At 39.9% G+C, this 23,773-nt stretch overlaps 1 protein-coding gene across 1 annotated transcript in view, besides 2 other annotated features; it reads left to right on the plus strand.

The window, feature by feature from the left end:
- The window catches only part of ZNF10 (zinc finger protein 10), a 28,839-nt gene extending 16,385 nt beyond the window's left edge, over positions 1–12,454 (plus strand). The window contains exons 3-5 of the mRNA NM_015394.5: positions 4,017–4,143; positions 4,798–4,893; positions 8,492–12,454. Of these exons, the coding sequence (NP_056209.2) occupies positions 4,017–4,143; positions 4,798–4,893; positions 8,492–9,957 (1,689 nt within the window). The 3' untranslated portion in view covers positions 9,958–12,454. The remainder of the gene's footprint in view (positions 1–4,016; positions 4,144–4,797; positions 4,894–8,491) is intronic.
- Positions 8,198–9,397: an enhancer, noted in NCBI's record as "P300/CBP strongly-dependent group 1 enhancer chr12:133731795-133732994 (GRCh37/hg19 assembly coordinates)". NCBI's record gives its function as "activates an origin of replication core promoter dependent on BRD2, BRD4, P300/CBP, MED14 and CDK7 cofactors, with strong dependence on P300/CBP, by STARR-seq in HCT116 cells {active_cell/tissue: HCT116}" and the evidence as "EXISTENCE:reporter gene assay evidence [ECO:0000049][PMID:35650434]".
- Positions 12,864–13,033: an enhancer, noted in NCBI's record as "experimental_26242 CRE fragment used in MPRA reporter constructs". NCBI's record gives its function as "activates a minimal promoter by MPRAs in K562 erythroleukemia cells, with activity observed for both the introgressed and non-introgressed 12:133736546 variant alleles {active_cell/tissue: K562}" and the evidence as "EXISTENCE:reporter gene assay evidence [ECO:0000049][PMID:34662402]".

Below are 23,773 nucleotides of genomic sequence, written 5' to 3' on the forward strand. Positions count from 1 at the left end.
GTATGAAGCCTCTAGCTCCTTTCATATAGCATAATGTATCGGAGGTTCATCTGTTGTTGCATGAGTCAGTAGGATGTTCCTTTTTATTACTGAGTAGATTTACACTGTGTGGCTGTACCACGTTTTGTTTATGCATTTCCTGTTGAGGGACATTTGAGTTTCTTCCAGTTTTTGCCAATTATAAATAAAGCCCTTTCTCAGGTTTATACATTTGCATACAGGTTTTTGTGTGGACATAAATTTTCATACTCAGGTATTTAGCCAAGAGAATGATAGGTGTGTGCCAAGAGTACGTTTAACTTTATGAAAAATATGCAAATTTTCCAAAGTGGTTGTAGCATTTTTGCATTCTCACAGTAATGTGTGGGAGTGGCAGTTATTCCGCATCCTCACCAGCACTTGGTATCACACATTTTAAAAGTACCCTTTCTAATAAGTGTCTTAGAGGTATCTCACTGTCATTTTAACTTTCATTTCCCTAATAAATAATGATATTAAGCATCATTTGCTTATTTATTACCAACTACCTATATTCTTCTTTGGTGAAATGTTTATTTTAGTCTTTTGCTCAGTAAGAAAACTAGTCTGTTTTCTGAGTTTTTTTTTTTTTTTTTTTTGGGAGACGGAGTCTTGCTCTGTAGCCCAGGCTGGAGTGCAGTGGCACGATATCAGCTCACTGCAACGTTTGCCTTCTCCCGGATTCAAGCAATTCTCCTGCCTTAGCCTCCCGAGTAGCTGGGACTACAGGTGCATGACGCCATGCCTGGCTAATTTTTTTTTTTTTTTTTTGTATTTTAGTAGAGACGGGGTTTCACCGTGTTGCCCAGGCTGGTCTCGAACTGCTGAACTCAGGCAATCCTGAGGCATTCCCGAGGCCTGCCTTGGCCTCCCAAAGTCTGGGATTACAGGTGTGAACCACTGTGCTCAGCCTCTTACTGAGTTTTGAGGGTTCTCTGTACCTTATATGTACAAGTCCTTTGTCAGATAATGTGATTTGCAAATATTATTTCCTGGTCTCTGGCTTGTCTTTTCATTCTCTTAGCAATGTCTTTTGAAGAGGAAAAATATTTTTAGTTTTGGTGAAGCTCACTTTGTCAATTTTCTATTTGTTCTTTTTTATTTTTTTGGAGACAGAGTCTCATTCTCTCGTCTAGGCTGGAGTGCAGTGGTGTGATCTGGGCTCACTGCAACCTCTGCCTCCAGCGTCGAAGCGATTCTCATGCCTCAGCCTCCGAAGTAGCTGGGATTACTTGTGTGCATCACCATGCCCAGCTAATTTTTGTATATTTAGTAGAAACGGCATTTCACCATGTTGGCCAGGCTAGTCTCGAACTCCTGACCTCAGATGATCCTCCTGCCTTGGCCTCCCAGAGTGCTGGGATTACAGGCGTGAGCCACCATGCCTGACCTATCAATTTGTGCTTTTGGTGTTATTGTTAAGAACCCTCTGAAGAACTCAAAATGACAAATATTTTCTCCTATGTTTTCTTACAGAAGTTTTATAAATTTATATGTTACATTTTGATCTATTTAGGATTTGAAATTTTTTTGCAGATTGACACATTTATCAGTGTGTAATATCCCTCTTTATCTCTGCTAATATTCTTTGTTCTTAATTCTATGTTGTCTGATACTAATACAGCCACTCTAGCTTTTGTATGATTAGTGTTTCCATAGTATATCTGTTTCTGTCCTTTTACTTTTAACCTCTCTAGGTTTCTAGGTTGTATTCAATGTTGGTTTTTTTTTTTTTTTTTTGAGTTGGAGTTTTGCTCTCGTTGCCCAGGCTGGAGTGCAATGCCGATATCTTGGCTCACTGCAACCTCTGCCTCCTGTGTTCAAGCGATTCTCCTGCCTCAGCCTCCCGAGTAGCTGAGATTACAGGCATGTGCCACCACACCTGGCTAATTTTGTATTTTTAGTAGAGACAGGGTTTCTCCATGTTGGTCAGGCTGGTCTGGAACCCCCGACCTCAGGTGATCCGCCCGCCTCAGCCTCCCAAAGTTCTGGGATTACAGGCATGAGCCACCGTGCCCGGCCCAGTGTTTTCTTTTAGGTAGCAGATAGTTGAGGCTTGTGGTTTGTTTGTTTGTTTGTTTTGAGGCAGGGTCTCATTGTTGCCCAGGCTGGAGTGCAGTGGTGCTATCACAGCTCACTGCAGTCTGGCTCAAACTCCTGGACTCAAGTGATTCTCCCACCTGTCTCCCCAGTAGCTGGGACTATAGGCATGAGCCACCACATCTGGCTAATTTTTAAATTTTTTGTAGACACAGGATCTCCCTATGTTGTCCAGGCTGGTCTGAAACTCCAGGGCTCAAGGGCTTGTGGTTTTTGCTATTGCTTTTTTTTTTTTTTTTTTTTTTTTAGACAGGTTCTCACTCTGTTGCACAGGCTAGAGTACAGTGGTGTGATCACAGCCCACTGTAACATCTGGCTCCTGGGTTCAAGTGATCCTCTCACCTTAGCCTCCCGAGTAGCTGGGACTACAGGCACATGCCACCACGCCTGGTTAATTTTTGTATTTTTTGTAGAGACAGGGTTTTGCCATATTGCCAGGCTGGTCTTGAACTCCTGAACTCAAGTGATCCACCTACCTCAGCCTTCCAAAGTGCTGGGATTACAGGTGTGAGCCACTGCACCCGGTTGCTTTTTTTTTTTCTTGATAAAGTTTGGCTACTTGTTTTTTAATTGTTATGTTTAGACCATTTTTGTTTAATGTTATTAATTAATACAATTGGATTTAAGTGTGTTATTTTATTATATGTTCTCTGTATATCTTTTCCCCCTTCTTAATTTACTGCCTTTATTTGGATTATTTGAATATATTTTAGTATTTCACTTAATGTCTTGGTTTTTCAGCTTTATATTTTTGTATTTTTTAATACTTGCTGTAGGGATTAGAATATACATATCTAATCTTTTACAGTCCACTTAGAGTTAATTTTTACTACTTCAAGCAAAATCTAGAAGCCTTACAACATGTGGGTCCCTTTACATTCCTCCCTTTTTGTTAAAGTTGTGTGTACGTTGAAAAACTGCACCGGAAAATGTTACAGGTCTTTCTTTCAACTGTTCTGTATATTTTTGAAAAATTTCAGAGAAGAAAACAAATCTGTTATATTTACCCAGATATCTACTGTTTTTGTTATTTATCTTCCTTTTCTGAGATTTCAGGTTTCTCTCTGGTATCATTTCCCTTCTGCCTGAAGAACTTCCTTCAGCACATCTTCTAGAGCAGAACTTCGGGCAACAAATTCTGTTAGTTTTAGTTCATTTGAGAATATCTTAATTTTGCATCATTTTTGAAAGATATTTTCACTGGACGTAGAAATTCTGGTTTGTCTGTTCTTTCAACATTTAAAAACAAACAAACATTATTCCACTGTCTTCTGACCTTTATGGTCTTTGATGAGAGACCCTCAGTCACTCAAATAGGTTTTTCTCTAGATACAATCAACACTTATTTTTGATGTGGCTGATAAGGGCCTTGCATCTGTCTCCTGTTTCTTTGTCAAATTGTTTTGCTACTGCTAAAATATAATCTCCCAACTCTTCTGTTTTTTTTTTTTTTAGTACCTACCAATAGTCATGAAAAATGTTTTGGATAATTATTTTAGGTTATAAAACATGGCTAGGGTGGTAAATCTCTTAAGCATTAAGGTGTACTTGAATTAGGTTCTTTATTTACGTAGTATAAAAGTGGGTTAACTTTTTTGGAGAATGGATGATTCCCCCTGCCATAGCTGTTTAAAATTTAATTTAAATAAAAATGCTTATGACAGTTTTCTTTAACCTAAAGCATCACATAAAACTTGTTTTCAGACAGTAGGTACCTAATAGCCATTCCTTTTAAGACTTGACTAGAATAAATACTACTCACTCCTAGAATAAATTGTGGTCCATCCACTTTACCTGCCCCAGTGCTGTCAGCTTAATTTCTCTTCCTGTTAGCGATCAGGAAAGGGGGATAGCAAAGATGCATATCTGGTGCAATGCAAATGTGTTTGATGTTGTAGACACTGGTGACCTTCAAGGATGTATTTGTGGACTTCACCAGGGAGGAGTGGAAGCTGCTGGACACTGCTCAGCAGATCGTGTACAGAAATGTGATGCTGGAGAACTATAAGAACCTGGTTTCCTTGGGTAAGACTAGCTCTGTTTTTGAAGATTTTGGTTCTCCATTGATCAAAAGGTACAGAGACCCTGAAGCATGTATCACACCAGAGTATAGGCTTGGCGTTCAGAGACCTAATTTCTTTGAGGCATAGAACAGGGTTTTTTTACTCCAGCTTTTGTGGAAAACTTGTTTTAATGTATTGAAGTTTTAAAAATGCCTCTTTAAGGAGTTTTCTGGCTGGGCATGGTGGCTCACGCCTGTAATTCCAGCACTTTGGGAGGCCGAGGTGAGCAGATCACAAGGTCAAGAGATTGAGACCATCCTGACCAACATGGTGAAACCCCGTCTCTACTAAAAATACAAAAATTAGCTGGGCGTGGTGGCGTGCTCCTATAGTCCCAGCTACTTGGGAGGCTGAGGCAGGAGAATCACTTGAACCCCGGAAGTGGAGGTTGCAGTGAGCCAAGATTATGCCACTGCACTCCAGCCTGGCAACAGAGAGAGACTCCATCTCAAAATAAATAAATAAAATAAAATAAGTTTTCCTGCCTCTGTCAACTTTAGAGTCCCTGCCAGTCCTGCAGAGGGTTGGTGGTCAGGTTGAATCTGAGATGTTTCTTCGTGCCTACCTCAGAGCTCCCCTGACTCTTACCCTGTTCTTTGTCTTTCACTGTGAACAGGTTATCAGCTTACTAAGCCAGATGTGATCCTCCGGTTGGAGAAGGGAGAAGAGCCCTGGCTGGTGGAGAGAGAAATTCACCAAGAGACCCATCCTGGTGAGGACCAGTCAAGAGTTGTCATAGGCAGCAGCCCAGATGGGCTGTGAGGTGCCAGAACTTCTAGAGATAGTGGTCACTGGCCCTCCTCACAGGCCCTTCTTCCTGGGAAGACTGAGTTTATCTGGCCCCTGTTTCCCCACTGCCAGTCTTTACATTCCATTTGCATTCAGAGGCAAAGGTTTCTCTGTCTGTTGACGTGCTTGGTTTCAGCGCTTGCACGTGTCGCTCTCCTAATTGTTACCACTCACTCTAGCATCTTGTGCTTTCGTTTGTCATAGAATCACTTCTTGCATTTTTGCCTCTCTTTGTTCTTTCATGTGACCCCTTCCCACAACTCAGTTCTCTGTGCAAGCTCTGGAGTGGGACTCTTATCACCTTCTTTTCTGAGAGTTTGTTTTCTGCCAGGTAGAAAACTGCTGCAGAGAGCTCATAATTCCTGTTGCCTCAACTCTCCTTCCTTTCCAGAATGGCTGCTCACAGAAACACCAGTTTTTCCTACTGTACTTTAGATCTTTTTTTCTTTTCGAGATGGAGTTTCACTCAGTCTCCCAGGCTGGAGTGTAGTGGCGCGATCTAGGCTCACTGCAACCTCCGCCTCCCAGGTTTAAGCGATTCTTCCGCCTTAGCCTCCCAAAGAACCAGGAATTACAGGCATGCACCACCACGCCCAGCTAATTTTTGTATTTTTAGGAGAGATAGGGTTTTACCATGTTGGCTAGGCTGGTCTCGAACTCCTGACCTCAAGTGATCCGCCCACCTCGGCCTTCCAAAGTGCTGGGATTACAGGCGTGAGCCACCATGCCCAGCCTCTATCTAGTTTTGTATTTAATGTTTTAAAAATTTATTTATAGGCATTTCCCTGCATCTCAGACTTTGAGTGTGATGTAAATTAAATCTGAGTCTTACTTGTCCTGTAATTTAGCCTCAAGTTCTTTCCCATGAAGGCTTTTATGATTCCTCATTAAGTATTGGCCTCTTCCTCTTCTGAACTTCCACTTAGTTTAAATCTCTACTTTGAAATATTATCATAAGCTCTTTTTTACTTTTTAGTATTTGCCTTGTAGGTGATTGTATCAAAATGGTATCTCAAAGCAAGTCTTTCTTTGGGACCATGGGAGGAAATATTGTTATATTTTCTTTTTATTACTTACCTTCTTTCTTTCTTTTCTATTTTGTTCATCTAGTAAGCTTTCCTGAATGTCTGTTGACAAGTATCCAAAAATAACAATTATTAACTGGACCCAGCAGTTTATATTTTTATTGAGAATTTATTGTCAAAAGAAATACTCAGACTTCATGGGCTTAAAGGCATGGAGTTTTACAGAATCTACAAGGCTGTTAAATTCATTATCAAATCAAAAAATATAATGAATGATGATTTTTAAAAATCAGATGATTAGTTGATTGATGGGTCCAACAGACTTCGACAATAACTTACTGGCATGGTTGTATTACATAATATGTGGAAGATTTTAGGATATTAATAAAACACCTCATTCTTATGACCAAACTCTCCACTCAGAATTGTCCTCCATAAGTGCTCAGCACCCCCCTTATCATAGATATTCTTCATAGAATCTTCCAGTTGGCATTTGTAGGTTGAAAAACTTCTCCATAAGATTTTCTGATGTTCTGGGTTGGGGAAAGGGAGGAAAGGGTGGTGTATTTCCTATTAAAAATCATCAGGATGGGGAAGAAACTAGGAACTAACTAAGTGGTAAGGGACAGGACTGGTCGGGGTGGGATTGTATAAGGAAGTCATTTAGGGACCAGGCCTGGCACAGGGATCATTTACCAGGTGTATTAGTTTCCTGGGGCTGCGGTAACAAAGAACCAGCAGTTAGGTGGCTCAAAACAACCAAAATGTATCATGTCACAGCTGGAGGCTGTTAAGTCTAAAATGAAGATGTCAGTGGGGCTCTGCTACGCTTCTAGGAGAGGGTCTTTCCTTATCTCTTCCAGGCTCTGCTGGCCCCAGGTGTTCCTTGGCTTGTGGATATATCATTCCAGTCTTGGTCTCCATGTTCACATGGTCTCTTCCCCTGTGTCTGTGTCTTTTTTATGGAGGACCACCCTCATACTGGATTAGGGGCCCATCCTATTTCTGGTACTACCTCATCATAACTAATTACATCTGGAAAGACTGTATTTCCAAATATGGTCATATTCTGAGATACTGAGGATTAAAACTTCAACATACCTTTTTGTCGGCGGGGGGGATACAGTTTAACCCATAATACCAGGTAAGAGTGGAATGTCACCCCACTTATGTAAGATGAAGTGGTATCATCAGTGTATTTTTTAGGTTTGGGATTATATGTTTTACCTGAAAGACATTGAGAAACAGATAAAGCTCTTATTCAAGAGAAATAATTTGCAGTAATATACACAGGTAGCAGATGGCAGAAATTCTAAGAGCGTATGGGTCAGGCTTCAGATTCTAAGTTCACATCTTGTGGTAGTAGTCCTATCAGTTGTTAAGTCCTTATGTTTCAGAGCGAAGAAATCAAAAAAATGAGAAGAATGATGATGATTATTGTAAATCTTATTGCTTTGACCATAAATGTGCCAGAGACTGTAATAGGCTCATGCTTTATATAATATAATAATCTTAAATAACAAATACTGTCATCCTTAGATTACAGATAAGCAAAATGAATTCTTCAAAGTTTAGCAACTCGTCTAAATTCACCACTAGTCGTAATATAAAACTTAGAACTTGCATCTTGGTAACTTTTGTGCAGTTACTCTTCCACCTTGTCATGTAGCTGCTCTGAGAGGTCTGTTGTGTCACTCATCTGGGTGTTATTCTATAGTGCTTCTGTGATTTGGATAGAAAGCATTGCCTGACGTATGGCTGCATTCATGGTTTAAGAATACTAAATTGGGCCGGACGCACTGGCTCACGCCTATAATCCCAGCACTTTGGGAGGCTAAGGCGGGTGGATCACCTGAAGTCAGGAGTTCAAGACCAGCCTGGCCAACATAGTGAAACCCTGTCTCTGCTAAAAATATTAAAAATTAACCAGGCATGGTGGCAGGTGCCTGTAATCCCAGCTACTTGGGAGGCTGAGGCAGGAGAATCATTTGAACCTGGGAGGCGGAGGTTGCATTGAGCCAAGATTGTGTCATTGCACTCCAGCCTGGACAACAAGAGCGAAACTGTCTCAAAAAAAAAAAAAAGAGAGAGAATACTAAATTGATAGTAATGTGAAGAATGTGTGTCAGGGGAAAGTCCTGACAACAAGTAGACAGGTGAGGAACTTAGACTGTTAATATCTGGATTAGAAAATGAGAGTGCAGTCCTTTTTATGGAATTTCCCTTATTTCTACCCTCACCATTGATACCCTGATCCCATGTGTCATGCTGTGTCCTGTGGCTTCTCCTTACTCCTTTTGCCCTTTGTGAGTACTGTATACCACAATGCATTTATTGTTTACCGCTCCATTCTTCCTTTTCTCATTCTCTATCAAAGTTATAAAGCCATATTTGAAAGCAACTGTGTACATCTTGCATACTTTGTCTCCACATACATCCTAGCATTCTCACCTTAATACTCTGTTTAGTTACACAAACATTTTTCATTTCTTTCAGATTCAGAGACTGCATTTGAAATCAAATCATCAGTTTCCAGCAGGAGCATTTTTAAAGATAAGCAATCCTGTGACATTAAAATGGAAGGAATGGCAAGGAATGATCTCTGGTATTTGTCATTAGAAGAAGTCTGGAAATGTAGAGACCAGTTAGACAAGTATCAGGAAAACCCAGAGAGACATTTGAGGCAAGTGGCATTCACCCAAAAGAAAGTACTTACTCAGGAGAGAGTCTCTGAAAGTGGTAAATATGGGGGAAACTGTCTTCTTCCTGCTCAGCTAGTACTGAGAGAGTATTTCCATAAACGTGACTCACATACTAAAAGTTTAAAACATGATTTAGTTCTTAATGGTCATCAGGACAGTTGTGCAAGTAACAGTAATGAATGTGGTCAAACTTTCTGTCAAAACATTCACCTTATTCAGTTTGCAAGAACTCACACAGGTGATAAATCCTACAAATGCCCTGATAATGACAACTCTCTTACTCATGGTTCATCTCTTGGTATATCAAAGGGCATACATAGAGAGAAACCCTATGAATGTAAGGAATGTGGAAAATTCTTCAGCTGGCGCTCTAATCTTACTAGGCATCAGCTTATTCATACTGGAGAAAAACCCTATGAGTGTAAAGAATGTGGAAAGTCTTTCAGCCGGAGTTCTCACCTCATTGGACATCAAAAGACCCATACTGGTGAGGAACCCTATGAATGTAAAGAATGTGGAAAATCCTTCAGCTGGTTCTCTCACCTTGTTACTCATCAGAGAACTCATACAGGAGACAAACTGTACACATGTAATCAGTGTGGGAAATCTTTTGTTCATAGCTCTAGGCTTATTAGACACCAGAGGACACATACTGGAGAGAAACCCTATGAATGTCCTGAATGTGGGAAATCTTTCAGACAGAGCACACATCTCATTCTGCATCAGAGAACCCATGTGAGAGTGAGGCCCTATGAATGCAATGAATGTGGAAAGTCTTACAGCCAGAGATCTCACCTTGTTGTGCATCATAGAATTCACACTGGACTAAAACCTTTTGAGTGTAAGGATTGTGGAAAATGTTTTAGTCGAAGCTCTCACCTTTATTCACATCAAAGAACCCACACTGGAGAGAAACCATATGAGTGTCATGATTGTGGAAAATCTTTCAGCCAGAGTTCTGCCCTTATTGTGCATCAGAGGATACACACTGGAGAGAAACCATATGAATGCTGTCAGTGTGGGAAAGCCTTCATCCGGAAGAATGACCTCATTAAGCACCAGAGAATTCATGTTGGAGAAGAGACCTATAAATGTAATCAATGTGGCATTATCTTCAGCCAGAACTCTCCATTTATAGTTCATCAAATAGCTCACACTGGAGAGCAGTTCTTAACATGCAATCAATGTGGGACAGCGCTTGTTAATACCTCTAACCTTATTGGATACCAGACAAATCATATTAGAGAAAATGCTTACTAATAAATATGGGAATTTTTCACAAAGAGCAATGACTTTATTTTGCATTGGAGAACTCCTGGAGATAAGCTGTACAAATTGAATCTATGTGGAAATGCTTTCAGTCTTGTTACTATCCTATTGCACATTAGAGAATTGGTCCTGGAAGGGAAAGAAACCACAGATTTTATTTCAGTACACAAATCCATCAGATTTTCTTCTTTTCATGAATTCCTACAGAAGTAATTGGCCTGAGAGCATTCTTGACCAAGTCTTAAATGCTAGAATCTGAGAAGGAATTATTAAATAGGTGAGTTGTTGAGCGAGAACCCCTTCATTTGAAAAGAAATGAGTATGCTACTATAGGGAGAGTTGTTGCTGAGAATTAAGAAATGATACAGTTAATGCAACAAAAGATGGAAAATAATATTTCAGTCAATATGTCATTGTTTTCTTGACTATGTCTCTCTTCTGGGACATTTAGTAGTGTTTGGTATGTTTTATGTGTCTGGTAGAAACCATATTTTGGTTAACAGCAAGAAAAATGCTTATAATGTAGTACAATTAAAAACAACACATCTCCACTACCAGTGCTAACCCATTTTTAAGTACATTTGCATGTGGGCAAGAATTGAAAGTATACAGATAATTGAACAGAATTGATTTGTTAGATAAGGAGATTTTGACTGAGTTTTATAGTCTGTTTAATGTTGCTGTAATAATTATTTTAAGAAACTTTTAAATATTGTAAGAGGATATCTAGTTTCTCTATTCTACCATCAAAGAAGCTTTTGAGTACCACCTGTTAATGAGCTTTCCTATTCTAAATTGTTTTGGGTCACAGAGTTCCACTTTTTCCACTCTTATTAGCACTGCAAAAGCTCCTGAGAATTTAAAAACACAGTAATTCTCTGGATGTTAGGACCTAGGGGAACATTGGGCATTTGAACATATCAGGGAGGGTCCCCATTTTAGTGGGAACAAGTATTTAAACAATATTTAGAGCAAGTGTCCTCATGTGATAAACAGAGCACAGTCCAAAGATACCCTCTTTCTCAAGGTAGTCTTTTATCTTTATAAAGAAAGATTAGTGTTTAAGAGCGTAGACTTGAGCTAGACTACCCAGGTTGAAACCCCACTAGCTGGGTGATCTTGAACATGCTGCTTAGCTTCTCTGTGCCAAACTTACTGATATCCTCATCTGTAAATTAGCGATAATAATAGTACTTACCTGGTAGGATTATGGTGAGTATTAAATGAGTAAATGGAAACAGCTTAGAATAGTGCCTGACATATATTATGTTCTCTGTAGTTACTGGCTGTGATTATTAATAATATTGCCGCACCCTAATATCTGTTATTTAATTGAAATCTGCTTGTGTGCTTATAAGAATTTACTGAGTTCTCACTTCCCTTACAGTCATACATGGTTTTTCCCTTTTGCCTAAATCAGAACTCAACAGCCTGGGAAAATCACTGACAAATAGTGGATATAGGTTTCATTTCTGAGGATCAATAAACAGCTTGTAATGTTGTATACACATTTATTCTGTTTGTACAAAGGTTTTCCATTCTATGGAGAGGATCCCAGTCTTCAGATTCTCTGGTAAGTTAATAACCCACAAAAGATTCAGGAAGAGGATCTATTTTAATTTTCTCTTTCATTCTATAAATCAGTCTGTTGTATATAGGGACTGACCATGATTCTCCATTTTCTGGCATAAATATTAGCTGCTCAATGATTGATTGTTGAATGATAGATGAAGTATTGCTGAAGCCAACCAGAGATCTTGATCTCTCTCTGAGGAAAAAACCTAGAAATGATGGTTAGAATCAGGAGACTTGAGAACTACGAGGAACATGGCAGCCTCTAGCTCATACTTGTCGTTGTACAATTGAGATCAAGTGAATTGGCCCCGGTCTCACATTTTCAGTGAAGTCAGACTCAGAACTAGGTCCTGGGTTTCATGTTTCCTGCTGCTCTTCTCACTGTGTACACACCATGCCCACATACAACATACCTATCAGAAATGGTTTTCATTAAGGGAGTAGAATAGTCACTTAACTGGGGCTCTTAACATTGCTAATAACCTGTGGCTCAATTTCCTCAACTGTATAATGAGGTTACTACTAGTATCTACCTCAAAGCGTTGTCATGTGGATTGAGATGATATGTATGAATCACATAAAAGAGTGCCTGGCACATAGTAGGTGCCATTAATAATATTACTATTGTTAACACCTTAAGGGTCTAACTTGTAATGAAGACAGAAATATGTATGAGGATGATCACTGAAATATTTATGACAGTGCATAATTTGCAAAATAAAAAATGTACACTAGCATAATATTTGTGGCATATCCGTGTAATGGAAGATTATGCAGGCATTAAAATATGTACACAAAAAGTTTGGTAAAGGAAAAATGCTGTCATGTGTTACAAAAGCATGATAAATAATTGTTAATATGGAATAAGCTCAAATATGTCAAAATAAATGTAAAAAATGAGTGTTGCCCAAAACTAAGGAGATTTGTCAAAATATTAACAGTAGTTAGCCTATATATTGGGAAAATTGGTGTTTCCTTTTCTATTTTTACACTTTTCAGTTCTTTCCAAAGCCTCCTGAAATAATATATCTTACTTGTAGAATTAGGAAAACAATCTCCTCAGTGATGGAATTTTTTTTTTCTTCAGAAGCTCATACCAAGGCCCAGTGTGTTAGCTCATGCTTATAATCCCAACAACTTGGGAGGCTGAGGGAGGAGGATTGACTGAGTTCAAGACCAGCCTGGGCAACATTGCGAGACCCTGTCTCTACAGAAAGTTTAAAAATTAGGTGTGGTGGTGCATACCTATAGTCCTAGCTACTTAAAAGGCCCTGAGGCAGGAGGACCACTTGAGACCAGAGTTTGAGGTTGCAGTGAATTATCACAGCACTGCACTCCAGCCTGGGCAACAGGGTGAGACCCTGTCTCCAAAAAAGGGGTGTGAGGGCTCATACATATTAATAAGCTACTAGAGGCCCAGCACGGTGGCTTACGCCTGTAATCCCAGCACTTTGGGAGGCTGAGGCGGGTGGATCACCTGAGGTTGGGAGTTCAAGACCAGCCTGGCCAACATGGTGAAACCCTGTCTCTACTAAAAATACAAAAATTAGCTGGGTGTGGTGACGCACATCTGTAATCCCAGCTACTCGGGAGGCTGAGGCAGGAGAATCTCTTGAACCCGGGAGGCGGAGATTGCAGTGAGCCAGGATCGCACCACTGCACTCTAGCCTGGGTGACAGAGTGAGACTCTTCGTTTTCCGTTAAAAAGAAAAGCTACTAGAACCTTAATAAAGGAATTTAGCACGGTCATAGGATATGAGGTTACAAAAATCAATTTTATTTCTATATGCTAGCAGTGACCAATTAGGAAATGAAATTGGAAATACAGTTCCATTTATAATGATACAAAAAAAGTTAGGTTTTGAAGGAAAGGTGAGGGTTAAAGAGAGAGTGGCTCAACAGAAACACAGGTTTATTGCCAGCAAAAACCTGCAGAGAGGGGACCAGCTTAGTGCCGGAGCCCACTGCTGCTTTCAGGCTGGGGTAATTATAGGTCTGGGTGGAAGGGGTCTGGGTGGTATGGCTTGCTGCCTGGCAGCATTTGATAAAGATGTTCCTGTTGTCAGGTGGTTAGGTAGGATGTTTCTCATGGCCCAAGCCCCTGAAGAATCGCCTTGACCAGGGTCTGTGAAATGGTTGGGGGTTTATAAAATGTTGCAGCTTGGACTAACAGTGACCAATTAGGAAATGAAATTAGAAATATAATCCCATTTACAATGATAGAAAAAATGTGAAATACTTAGATAAATTTAATGAAACATGAAAGACCTGCACAGTGAAAACTATAAAACATTGCTGGAAGAAGTTAAGGAACATATAATAAGAATAAATAACACAAAAGAAACGGAGAAATATACCTTGGTCAAGGATGGGAAAACTCAGTATTGTTAAGATGGCAGTCCTCCCGAAATTAATCTTTATTTTATTTATTTATTTATTTTTTGAGACGGAGTCTCGCTCTGTAACTCAGGCTGGAGTGCAGTGGTGCGATCTGGCTCACTGCAAGCTCTGCCTTCCGGGTTCATGCCATTCTCCTGCCTCAGCCTCCCGAGTAGCTGGGACCACAGGCGCCCACCACCACGCCTGGCTAATTTTTTTGTATTTTTAGTAGAGACGGGGTTTCACCCTGTTAGCCAAGGATGGTCTTGATCTCCTGACCTCATGATCTGCCCACCTCGGCCTCCCAAAGTGCTGGGATTACAGGCGTGAGCCACTGCACCCGGCCAATTTTTTAAAATTCTAATGAATTTTGTCATATACTGATCTGAAGGGTTTTTCAGTTAAAAAGTGCTGGAGAATGCTGTGATAATATGTTTGGGAAATAGAAGCTTTTCACATGAGTGTTCCTGAATCAGTCCTCACTGCCTAGACATTGAACTTATTAGACAAAATGGTGATATCGATAAACAGATAGAAATTATTAAAAAGAACTGAAGAGAAATTCTGGAGATGAAAAGTATAACTGAAATGAAAAATTCAGTATAGAGGTTTAACAGCATATTTGAGCAGACAGAAGGTAAATCAGCAAACTTGGAGATAAAACAATTGGAATTATATGTGTGAGGAACAGAAAGTAAATTTTAAAAAGTGAACAGATTACAGGCATTCCTTGGAGATACTGCAGGCTTCATTCTACACCACCACAACAAAGCAATCAATCATCATAAGGAAGTCACACAATATTTTTGGTTTCCTAGTGAATATAAAACCTATGTTTAGAGGGCGGGCTTCAAGATGACTGACTAAAGGCATTTGGTACTCACCTCATTCACAAAGAGGAACCAAAAATGGCAAGTATATAATCACACTTTGAGTAGATCATCTAAGAGAGGACATATAATTCAACAGAGAAGTGATAGAAAACACCTAAGGCAAGGAAGCAGAGGGAGGTGAGGTAGCCTGCTCAGCCACTGGAGATTGACTGAGAACCCAGAGAAACACCCCAATGTGAGGAAAGGGTATGTGAGAGATTCCCTAGCAGTCCACATTTCCACCATGGTTTCTTGCAATCCTAGCATGGGAAATTTCCTCAACCCTCACAGGCCCTAAGACCAACATAGTAGCTGCCTGGAGACCACATGATGGCATTGCTACAGAGATGGGGCATACACTGGGTCTTACACACACCCTGAGTCCTAAGTAGCTGCAGCACAGTGCCATTTTGAGAGCCCAGACCCTACCACACTTCACCCTGCATTGGTGCTCAATAGCTCCTGCATATCTGCATCCCAGGAGCCCCGTTGACAAGCATGCTTGGCCCACCACTCCCACTCCCTTGGGCCCTGGGGCACAAGGGCTGGCCCACCTGGAATCCCTATCTCCAGCAAAACTACTACAGTCTACACCAACGATGGTGCTCTAAGCCACTGAGGAAATCACAGGTACCACTGAAACTGCTTACAGCTGAAGAAATTATATGGAGACTACACTGCTGCATGGACCCAAAATAAAAACTAAAGTGCCCTACCCCGGGCCAGGCGCAGTGGCTCATGCCTGTAATCCCAGCACTCTGGGAGGTGGGCGGATCACCTGAGGTCAGGAGTTCAAGACCAGCCTGGCCAACATGGTGAAACTCCATCTCTACTAATAATACAAAAATTAGCCAAGTGTGGTGGTGGGCACCTGTAATCCCAGCTACTCAGGGGGCTGAGGCAGGGAAATCGCTTGAACCCGGGTGGCAGAGGTTGCAGTGAGCCCAGATCCCACCAGTGCACTCTACCCTGGGTAACAGAGTGAGATTCTGTCTCAAAAAAAAAATTTAAAAATTAAATTAAATTAAAAAGTGCCCTACCTGGCCAGGTGCAGTGGCTCATGCCTGTAATCCTAGCACTTCGGGAGGCCAAGGCAGGGAGATTACTGGAGCTCTGGTGTTTGAGACCAGCCTGGGAAACATGGTGAAACCCAGTCTCTACAAAAAATACAAAACTTAGCCAGGTGGTGTATGCCTGTGGTCCCAGCTACTTGGGAGGCTGAGGTAGGAGGATTGCTTAAGCCCGGGAAGTAAAGCTTGCAGTCAGCCATAGACACATAGTTGCAGTCACCATAGATACATCTTTAGGAAAAAGTCCTCCTCTACTAAAGCAAATTCAAAAAAATGGAAGAAGTGACTTTTTCACCAGATGTGTATATATCAATGTTGAGAACACAAGAAATATGAAAAAAAAAACTAAGGAAAAAATGACACCTCCAAAGGAACACAGTAACTCTCCAGCAAACAAGGATGCTATATCCAGAAAAGTTAAATGAAGTCATAAATGAAGAAGAAAGAAAGTCTTTCCCAGGCAAATAAAAACTTAGGGAATTCATCACCAGTAGACTGGCTGGCTAAACAAGAAATTCGTATGGGAGTCCTACACCTGGAAGCAAAAGAGCAATATCTACCATCATGAAAACATATGAAAATATAAAGCCTACTACTGGTAGAGCAAAGACACAAGGAAGAGAAAGGACTAAAATCTTCAGGCTCCACTTCTAGTTTCCTTGCTATTTCCACCACATTTAGATTTACTTCCTTCATGGAAGTTCTGAGTTCCTCAAAATCATTTATGAGCATTGGGATCAACTTATTTTAAAGTCCTATTAATGTTGATATTTTGACTCCCTCCTATGAATCACAGATGTCCTTAGTGGCACCTAAAATGGTGAATCCTTTCTAGAGTTTTTTCCATTTACATTGCCCAGATCCATCAGAGTAATCACTAGCTATGGCAGCTGTAAACTTACAAAATATATTTTTGAAATAAGACTTGAAAGTCAAAATTACTCCTTTACCATGGGCTACAGAATGGATATTGTGTTAGCAGGTGTGAAAACAGCATTTATTTCCACCAGAGCTCTTGGGTGACTAGGTGCATTGCCAATATGCAGTACTATTTAGAAAGAAATATTTTCTTACTGAGTAGTAGGTCTCAACAGTGGGCTTAAAATATTCAGTAAACCATGTTATAAACAGATGTGCTGTCACCCAGGCTTTGTTGTTCCATTTATAGAGCACAGCAAAATAGGTTTAGCATAATTCTTAAGGGCTCTAGGATTTTCAGAATGGTAAATGAGATAAACAAAAGCAGTCGGAATTTGTTACTGTCCTACATGAAATTCTAAAGGGAATCCTTCAGGTCAAAATGAAAGGACACTAGACAGTAACTTGATGGTATATAGAGAGTAAGAAAGATTTTCAGTAAGAAAAGACTACATGGGCACTTATAGAAGCTAGTGTCAGTGTAAAAGAAAATACATAAAAATAACTATAAATGGCTGGGCGTGGTGGCTCATGCCTGTAATCCCAGCACTTTGGAAGGCCGAGGTGGGTGGATCACAAGGTCAGGAGATTGAGACCATCCTGGCTAACATGGTGAAACCCCGTCTCTACTAAAAATACAAAAAATTAGCGTGGTGACTGGCGCCTGTAGTCCCAGCTACTCGGGAGGCTGAGGCAGGAGAATGGCATGAACCCGGGAGGCGGAGCTTGCAGTGAGCCGAGGTGGCACCACTGCACTCCAGCCTGGGCGAGAGTGCGAGACTCCATCTCAAGAAAAAAAAAAACTATAAATTTATGTTATCAGACACACAATATATAATGATGTAACTTGGGACAATAACATAAAGGGAAGCAGGAAACAGAACTATATAAGAGCAGAGTTTTTGCATGATATTGAAGTTAACTTTGTATCAATTCAGACTATATTGGCCTCAAATTTATTTGGAAGTCCAGAGGGCTGTGAATAGCCAAAGCAATCTTGAAAAAGAAGAATAAAGTCGGAGGCAGTTTCTGCTTTCAAAACTTACTACAAAGCTACAGTCATCAAAACAATGTGGTATTTGCATAACTATAAACATTTAGATCAATGGAATAGAATTTAGAGTCCAAAAATAAACCTATACATGTATGTCCAGTTGATTTTTACAAGGGTGCCAAGTATATTAAGTAAGGAAAAATAATCTCTTCAACAAATGGCACCGGATGACTGGATTTCCACATGCAGAAGAATGAAATTGGCTTCCTTCTCACACTACATACAAAAATTAATTCAAACTAGACCAATGACTTAAAAACTAAAACTGTAAAACTGTTAGAATAAAACATAAAGGAAAAATCCTCATGACCATAGGGCCTGTCATGGTGACTCACACCTGTAATGCCAGAACTTTGCAAGGCTGAGGCAGGAGGCTTACTTGACCTCGAGAGTTGGAGACCCACCTGGGCAACCTAGTGAGATCCCATCTCTATTAAAAAAAAAAAGAAAAAATATTCACAACCTTAGATTTGGCAATAGATTCTTAATTATGACACCAAAAGCACAAGCAATAACAGAAAAGAATAGATAAATTGGACTTCATCAAAATTTTGAAATTTTGTGCATCAAAGGACATTATCATGAAAGTGAAACAGTAACCTACAGAAATAGAGAAAATATTTGCAAATCATGTAAGAGTTTAATATCAGGAACATTTAAACAACTCCTACAACTCAAAAAACAACCCCACTGAAAAATGAGTGGAGACATGAATAGACATTTCTCCAAAGAGGATGTGCTAATGGCCACTAAACATGTGAAAAGATGGTCCAAGTTATTAGTCATTTGGGAAATGCTAACCAAAACCACAATGAGATACCACTCCACATCTTCTAGGATAGGTGTAATTTTTTTTTAAAGCAGAAAGTATTAAGTCTTATTCCCCAGTGAACAGGTATATTCAAACCTACCCCTACAGTCCAAGGGAACTGAGAAGCCAAAGAAAGAAGCTAATAAATCCAGTTTCTCAGAAACATTCAATAGGGACTTATAAACAGAAGTGATGTCTTGGGCAACCATGAGACTGCGGATTACTGCACTCACCCTCCAGAAGGAATTCTTTATATCACAAGCTTTTTTGTTAAGACATGTTCAGCTGGCCATGTTTCAGACTCTCTTGCAAAACTCATGACCAATAGGAATTTAGAGAAGCATCTCTATGAGGGATTGTCTATGGCACGGGCATTGTTTTTTGAACTTACCGTAGCAATGTCTTGGTATGCATGCTTCAAACATTAGTCATTATGTCAGTTTCATTTCAAGATGGCCTTACTCTTGACTGGCAACAGACTGTTTTCCTACAAGTGTTTGGTAAGGATGTGAAGAAATTGGAGCCCCTGTACATTGCTGGTGGGAATGTAAAACGGTTCAGCCACTGTGAGAAACATTTTGGTGGTTTCTTGGAAAGGACAGAATTGCCCTATGACCCAATAATACCGCCACTGTGTATATACCCCAACGCATTGAAAATAGGGAGTCAAACAGATACTTTTATGCCAATATTCCTTGCAGAATTATTCATAATAGCCCAAAGGTGGATCAACCCAAATGTCCATCAACAGATAAATGGATAAACAAAATGGAGTATACAACAGGATTATCAGTCATAAAACAGAACCAAAGCTCTGGTACATGCAACAACATAGGTGATCCTGAAAAACATTATGCCAAATGAGATAAACCAGACACAAAGGGACAAATATTGTATGATTCCACTTATATGACCCAGGTCAAATAGGCAAATTCATGGAGACAGAAAGTAGATCAGAGGTTTCCAGGCAAATAGGGGGAATGGGGAGTTATTGCTAAATGAGTACCAGAGTTTCTGTTTGGCGTGATGGAAAAGTTTTGGAAATAGTGGTGATGGTTACACAACATTGTGAATCTAATTAATGTCATTGAATTGTATGCTTAGCGATAGTTAAAATGGAAGTTTTTATTATGTATATATATCCACAATGAGATAAAAAGAAATTTTAAAAATTTAAAGAGAGTAATTTTAAAATGTTAGAATTAGCCAATTTTACATCATATTGAATTTTGCATTTCAAGCATAGGCTAATTTCCCCTCACAATTATTTTGTCTGTGTGTGTGTGTTTGGGGGTGTTTTCAGGCCTTTAGTATATATTTATTGATAGTGATAGATGACAAGAAATTTTTATGCTAATGTGATTTATGAAAAACATTTTTAAAGAGAACTGGTTGTGGTGGCTCATGCCTATAATCCTAGTGCTTTGGGAGGCTAAGGTGGGAGGATCGCTTGAAGCCAGGAGTTCAAGACCAGCCTGGGCAACATAGGGAGACACCATTTCTACAAAAAAATTAAAAAATTAGCCAGGTATATATGTTATATATATTATATAATGTAGCATACATTATATAATATATATTATACAGGTGCACACCTGTATTCCTAGCTACTTAGGAGGCTGAGATAGGAGGATCACTTGAGCCCAGGAATTTGAGGTTACAGTGAGCTATGGTCGTGCCACTGAACTCCATCCTGCGTGATAGAGTGAGACCCTGTCTCTTTAATTTATTTTTAAAAGAACAGATGTAAGAAAGACCTTCTAAATATAAGGGTAAATAGAGGTGAAATGTAAGGAGAGGAAAAAATATATACCATGCATACAGTAACCAAAAAAAAAAAAAAGCTTGCATGGCTATATTAACATCAGACTATGGCAAGAAATATCATGAGAGATAGGAAAATTTTATAATAATAAATGGCAAACTCAACAGGAAAATCTAAATATCTCAAATAAATAGCTTGAGACATAAGCATATTCCACCCTGATTACTGTGACAACTTTCTGTAGTAGAGGATCTGCCAGTGCTCATCAAAACTGTTTGCTTTTTCCTCATTAGCAACTCTTTCCAAACACACCTTGAGTTACATGGAGTCAAGTGACCAAGTTCTGGCCATGGAATATGGGCTAAAATGGGATATACTGCTTTCAGTCATGTCCCATGTGATGAAGAATGAACGTTCTTTAGATTATTACACAAAGTGGGAAAGACTGTCAGGGAAACTTGAAAAAGAATTAGACATGAATAAAATATTACTTTGTATTTTCAGTGTAAATCTAGGCATTATTTAAAGCACTCTTCCATATTATATCTGCTTTTCATTGTCTTTGAGATGTTTTACAACCCTGTACTTTATCGAAAACTTGTAATATATTATTCTCCATAGAAATGCAAATATATTATGTCTAGTTGAATGCAATTCTTTAGTTTTGCATCTTTTTGTAAATTCACCCTCGTATTTCTTACCTATTTATCTGTGGTTCCTTGAATTCTTCTTTGGACTATTTACAACAGCTTACTGGTACACTCATTAAATAAGAAGGTAATTAAAATATTCGGCACATGTTTATTTTGTGTTTGTATGAGAGTCATGACTTTATCTTTTTTTTTTTTTTTTGAAACAGGGTCTCACTTTGTCACCCAGGCTGGAGTGCAGTGTCGTGATCACGGTTCACTGCAGTGTTGACCTCCCAGGCTCAGGTGATCCTCTTACCTCAGCCTCCTGAGTAGCTGGGACTATGGGTGGCACACCGCCATGCCTGGCTAATTTTTTTTTTGGTATTTTTTTGTAGAGACGGGGTTACACTATGTTGTCAAGGCTGGCCTCAAACTCCTGGATTCAAGCAATCCCCCCACCTTGGCCTCTCAAAGTTCTAGTATTACAGACATGAGCCACCGTGCCCAGCTGATTTTATATTTTTTAAAAAAATCTTGTGAAAGTTGCTTAAAACACCCTGTATAACTTCCACTGTCTCTCCCATCCACCATTTGCAAGCTGGATTTCAACATAAGAAATCTATCAGAATCATATACTGAAAGCAACAGACTCTGTAAACATGGGTCTCTGAATGATTGACTTTAGCAGAGATTCCCCCAACCCTCATTGCACTATGATATGTGAAAACATAAGGTACAAATTACATATCATAAAATGTAACCATTTAATGTATATAATTTCATTTTAAAACTATTTTTACAGGCCAGGCGCAGTGGCTCACACCTGTAATCCCAGCACTTTGGGAGGCTGAGGCAGGCGGATCACGAGGTCAGGATATCGAGATCATCCTGGCTAACACGGTGAAACCCCGTCTCTACTAAAAAAAAAATAACAAAAAATTAGCTGGGCATGGTGGCGGGCGCCTGTAATCCCAGCTACTCAGGAGGCTGAGGCAGGAGAAGGGCATGAACTCGGGAGGTGGAGCTAGCAGTGAGCCGAGATCTTGCCACTGCACTCTAACCCGGGCAACAGAGCGAGACTCCGTCTCAAAAAAAAAAACAGAGGAAAAAAGAAAAAAATTATTTTCACAGAATTGTGCAACCATCTCTATGATTTAATTTTAGGGCCTGCCGTGGTGGCTCACGCCTGTAATCCCAGAAATTTGGGAAACCGAGATGGGTGGATCACCTGGGGTCAGGAGTTCGAGACCAGCCTGGCCAACATGGTGAAACCCTGTCTCTACTAAAAATACACACACACACACACACACACACACACACACACACAGTCGGGCATGGTGGCACACCTATAATCCCAGCTACTCAGGAGGCTGAGGCAGGAGAATCGCTTGAACCTGGGAGCTGGAGGTTGCTGTGAGCTGAGATAGCACCACTGCACTCCAGCCTAGGTGACAGAGTGAGATTCTGTCTCCAAAAAAAAATTAATTTTTAGAACATTTTCATATACCCCCTCCCCAAAACTTCATATCCATTAGTAATCAGACTAGGCAACCAATAAGCTACTGTTTCTACAGATTTGCCTTCTGAGAACATTTCATGTAAATAGTATCATGCAATATGTGGTCTTATAAGACTTGCTTCTTCCATTCAGTATAATGTTTTGAGGTTTATTTGCTCAGGCATGTACCAGTACTTAAGTCCTTTTTTGCTTAATAGTGTTACATTGTATAGATATGTCTCATTTTGTTTTTCAAACATTAGTTGTTGGATATTTGGGTTGTTCCCACTTTTTGGCTATTATGAATAATGCTTCTGGTAACATTTATGTACATGTCTTTGTGTGAACATTTCTGTTTGTTTTTTTTTAAGAGATGGAAGTCTCACTCTGTCACTCATGCTGGAGTGCAATGGTGTAATCATAGCTCGCTGAAACCTCGAACTCCTGGGCTCAAGCAATCCTCCGCCACCTCAGCCACCCAAGTAGCTGGGACTACAGGCATGTCACCATACCTGAATATCTTTTCCCTTATCTTGGGTAATGAGCTTTGCTAAAGAGCACTTTGGGAGCCTGAGGCTGGAGGATCACTTGAGGCCAGGAGTTTGAGACCATCCTTGGCAACGTGGTGAGACTGTATCTCTCCAAAAAAAAAAAAAAAAGTCAGGCATGGTGGTGCATACCTGTAGTCTTAGTTACTTGGGAGGCTGAGGTGAGAGGATCACTTGAGCCCAGGAGTTTGAGGTTACCTTGAGCTATGATTATACCACTGCACTTCATCTGGGGCAACAGAGCAAGATCATGTTCCTAAAAATAAAAATAAAATATAATATAATATATAAAATTTTTTAAAGCCTGATTTTTTTTAAAGCCTGACATACTTTTTTTTAAAGAGACACCCAGGCTGGAGTACTGTGGCATGATCATAGCTCACTGCAGCCTCAAACTCCTGGCTCAAAGGATCCTCCTGCCTCAGCCTCCTGAGTAGCTGGGACTACGGGTATGCACCCCCACCCCAGCTAATTTAAACAAATTTTTTTTAGAGATGAGGTCTTCTCAAATTGTCCAAAGTGCTTTGGTGGCATTAGCCACCACACCCAGCCTAGTTGACGTACTTAATCTACCTGAGATTTATTTTAAATATATTGTGAGACAGCCATCTTTATTTATATTATTATATAGCTACCTTGTTGTTCCTATACAGTTTATTGAAAAGTTTATCTTTTCCATAATGAC

Source organism: Homo sapiens, chromosome 12, assembly GCF_000001405.40.
Source record: "Homo sapiens chromosome 12, GRCh38.p14 Primary Assembly".
NCBI lineage: Eukaryota > Metazoa > Chordata > Mammalia > Primates > Hominidae > Homo > Homo sapiens.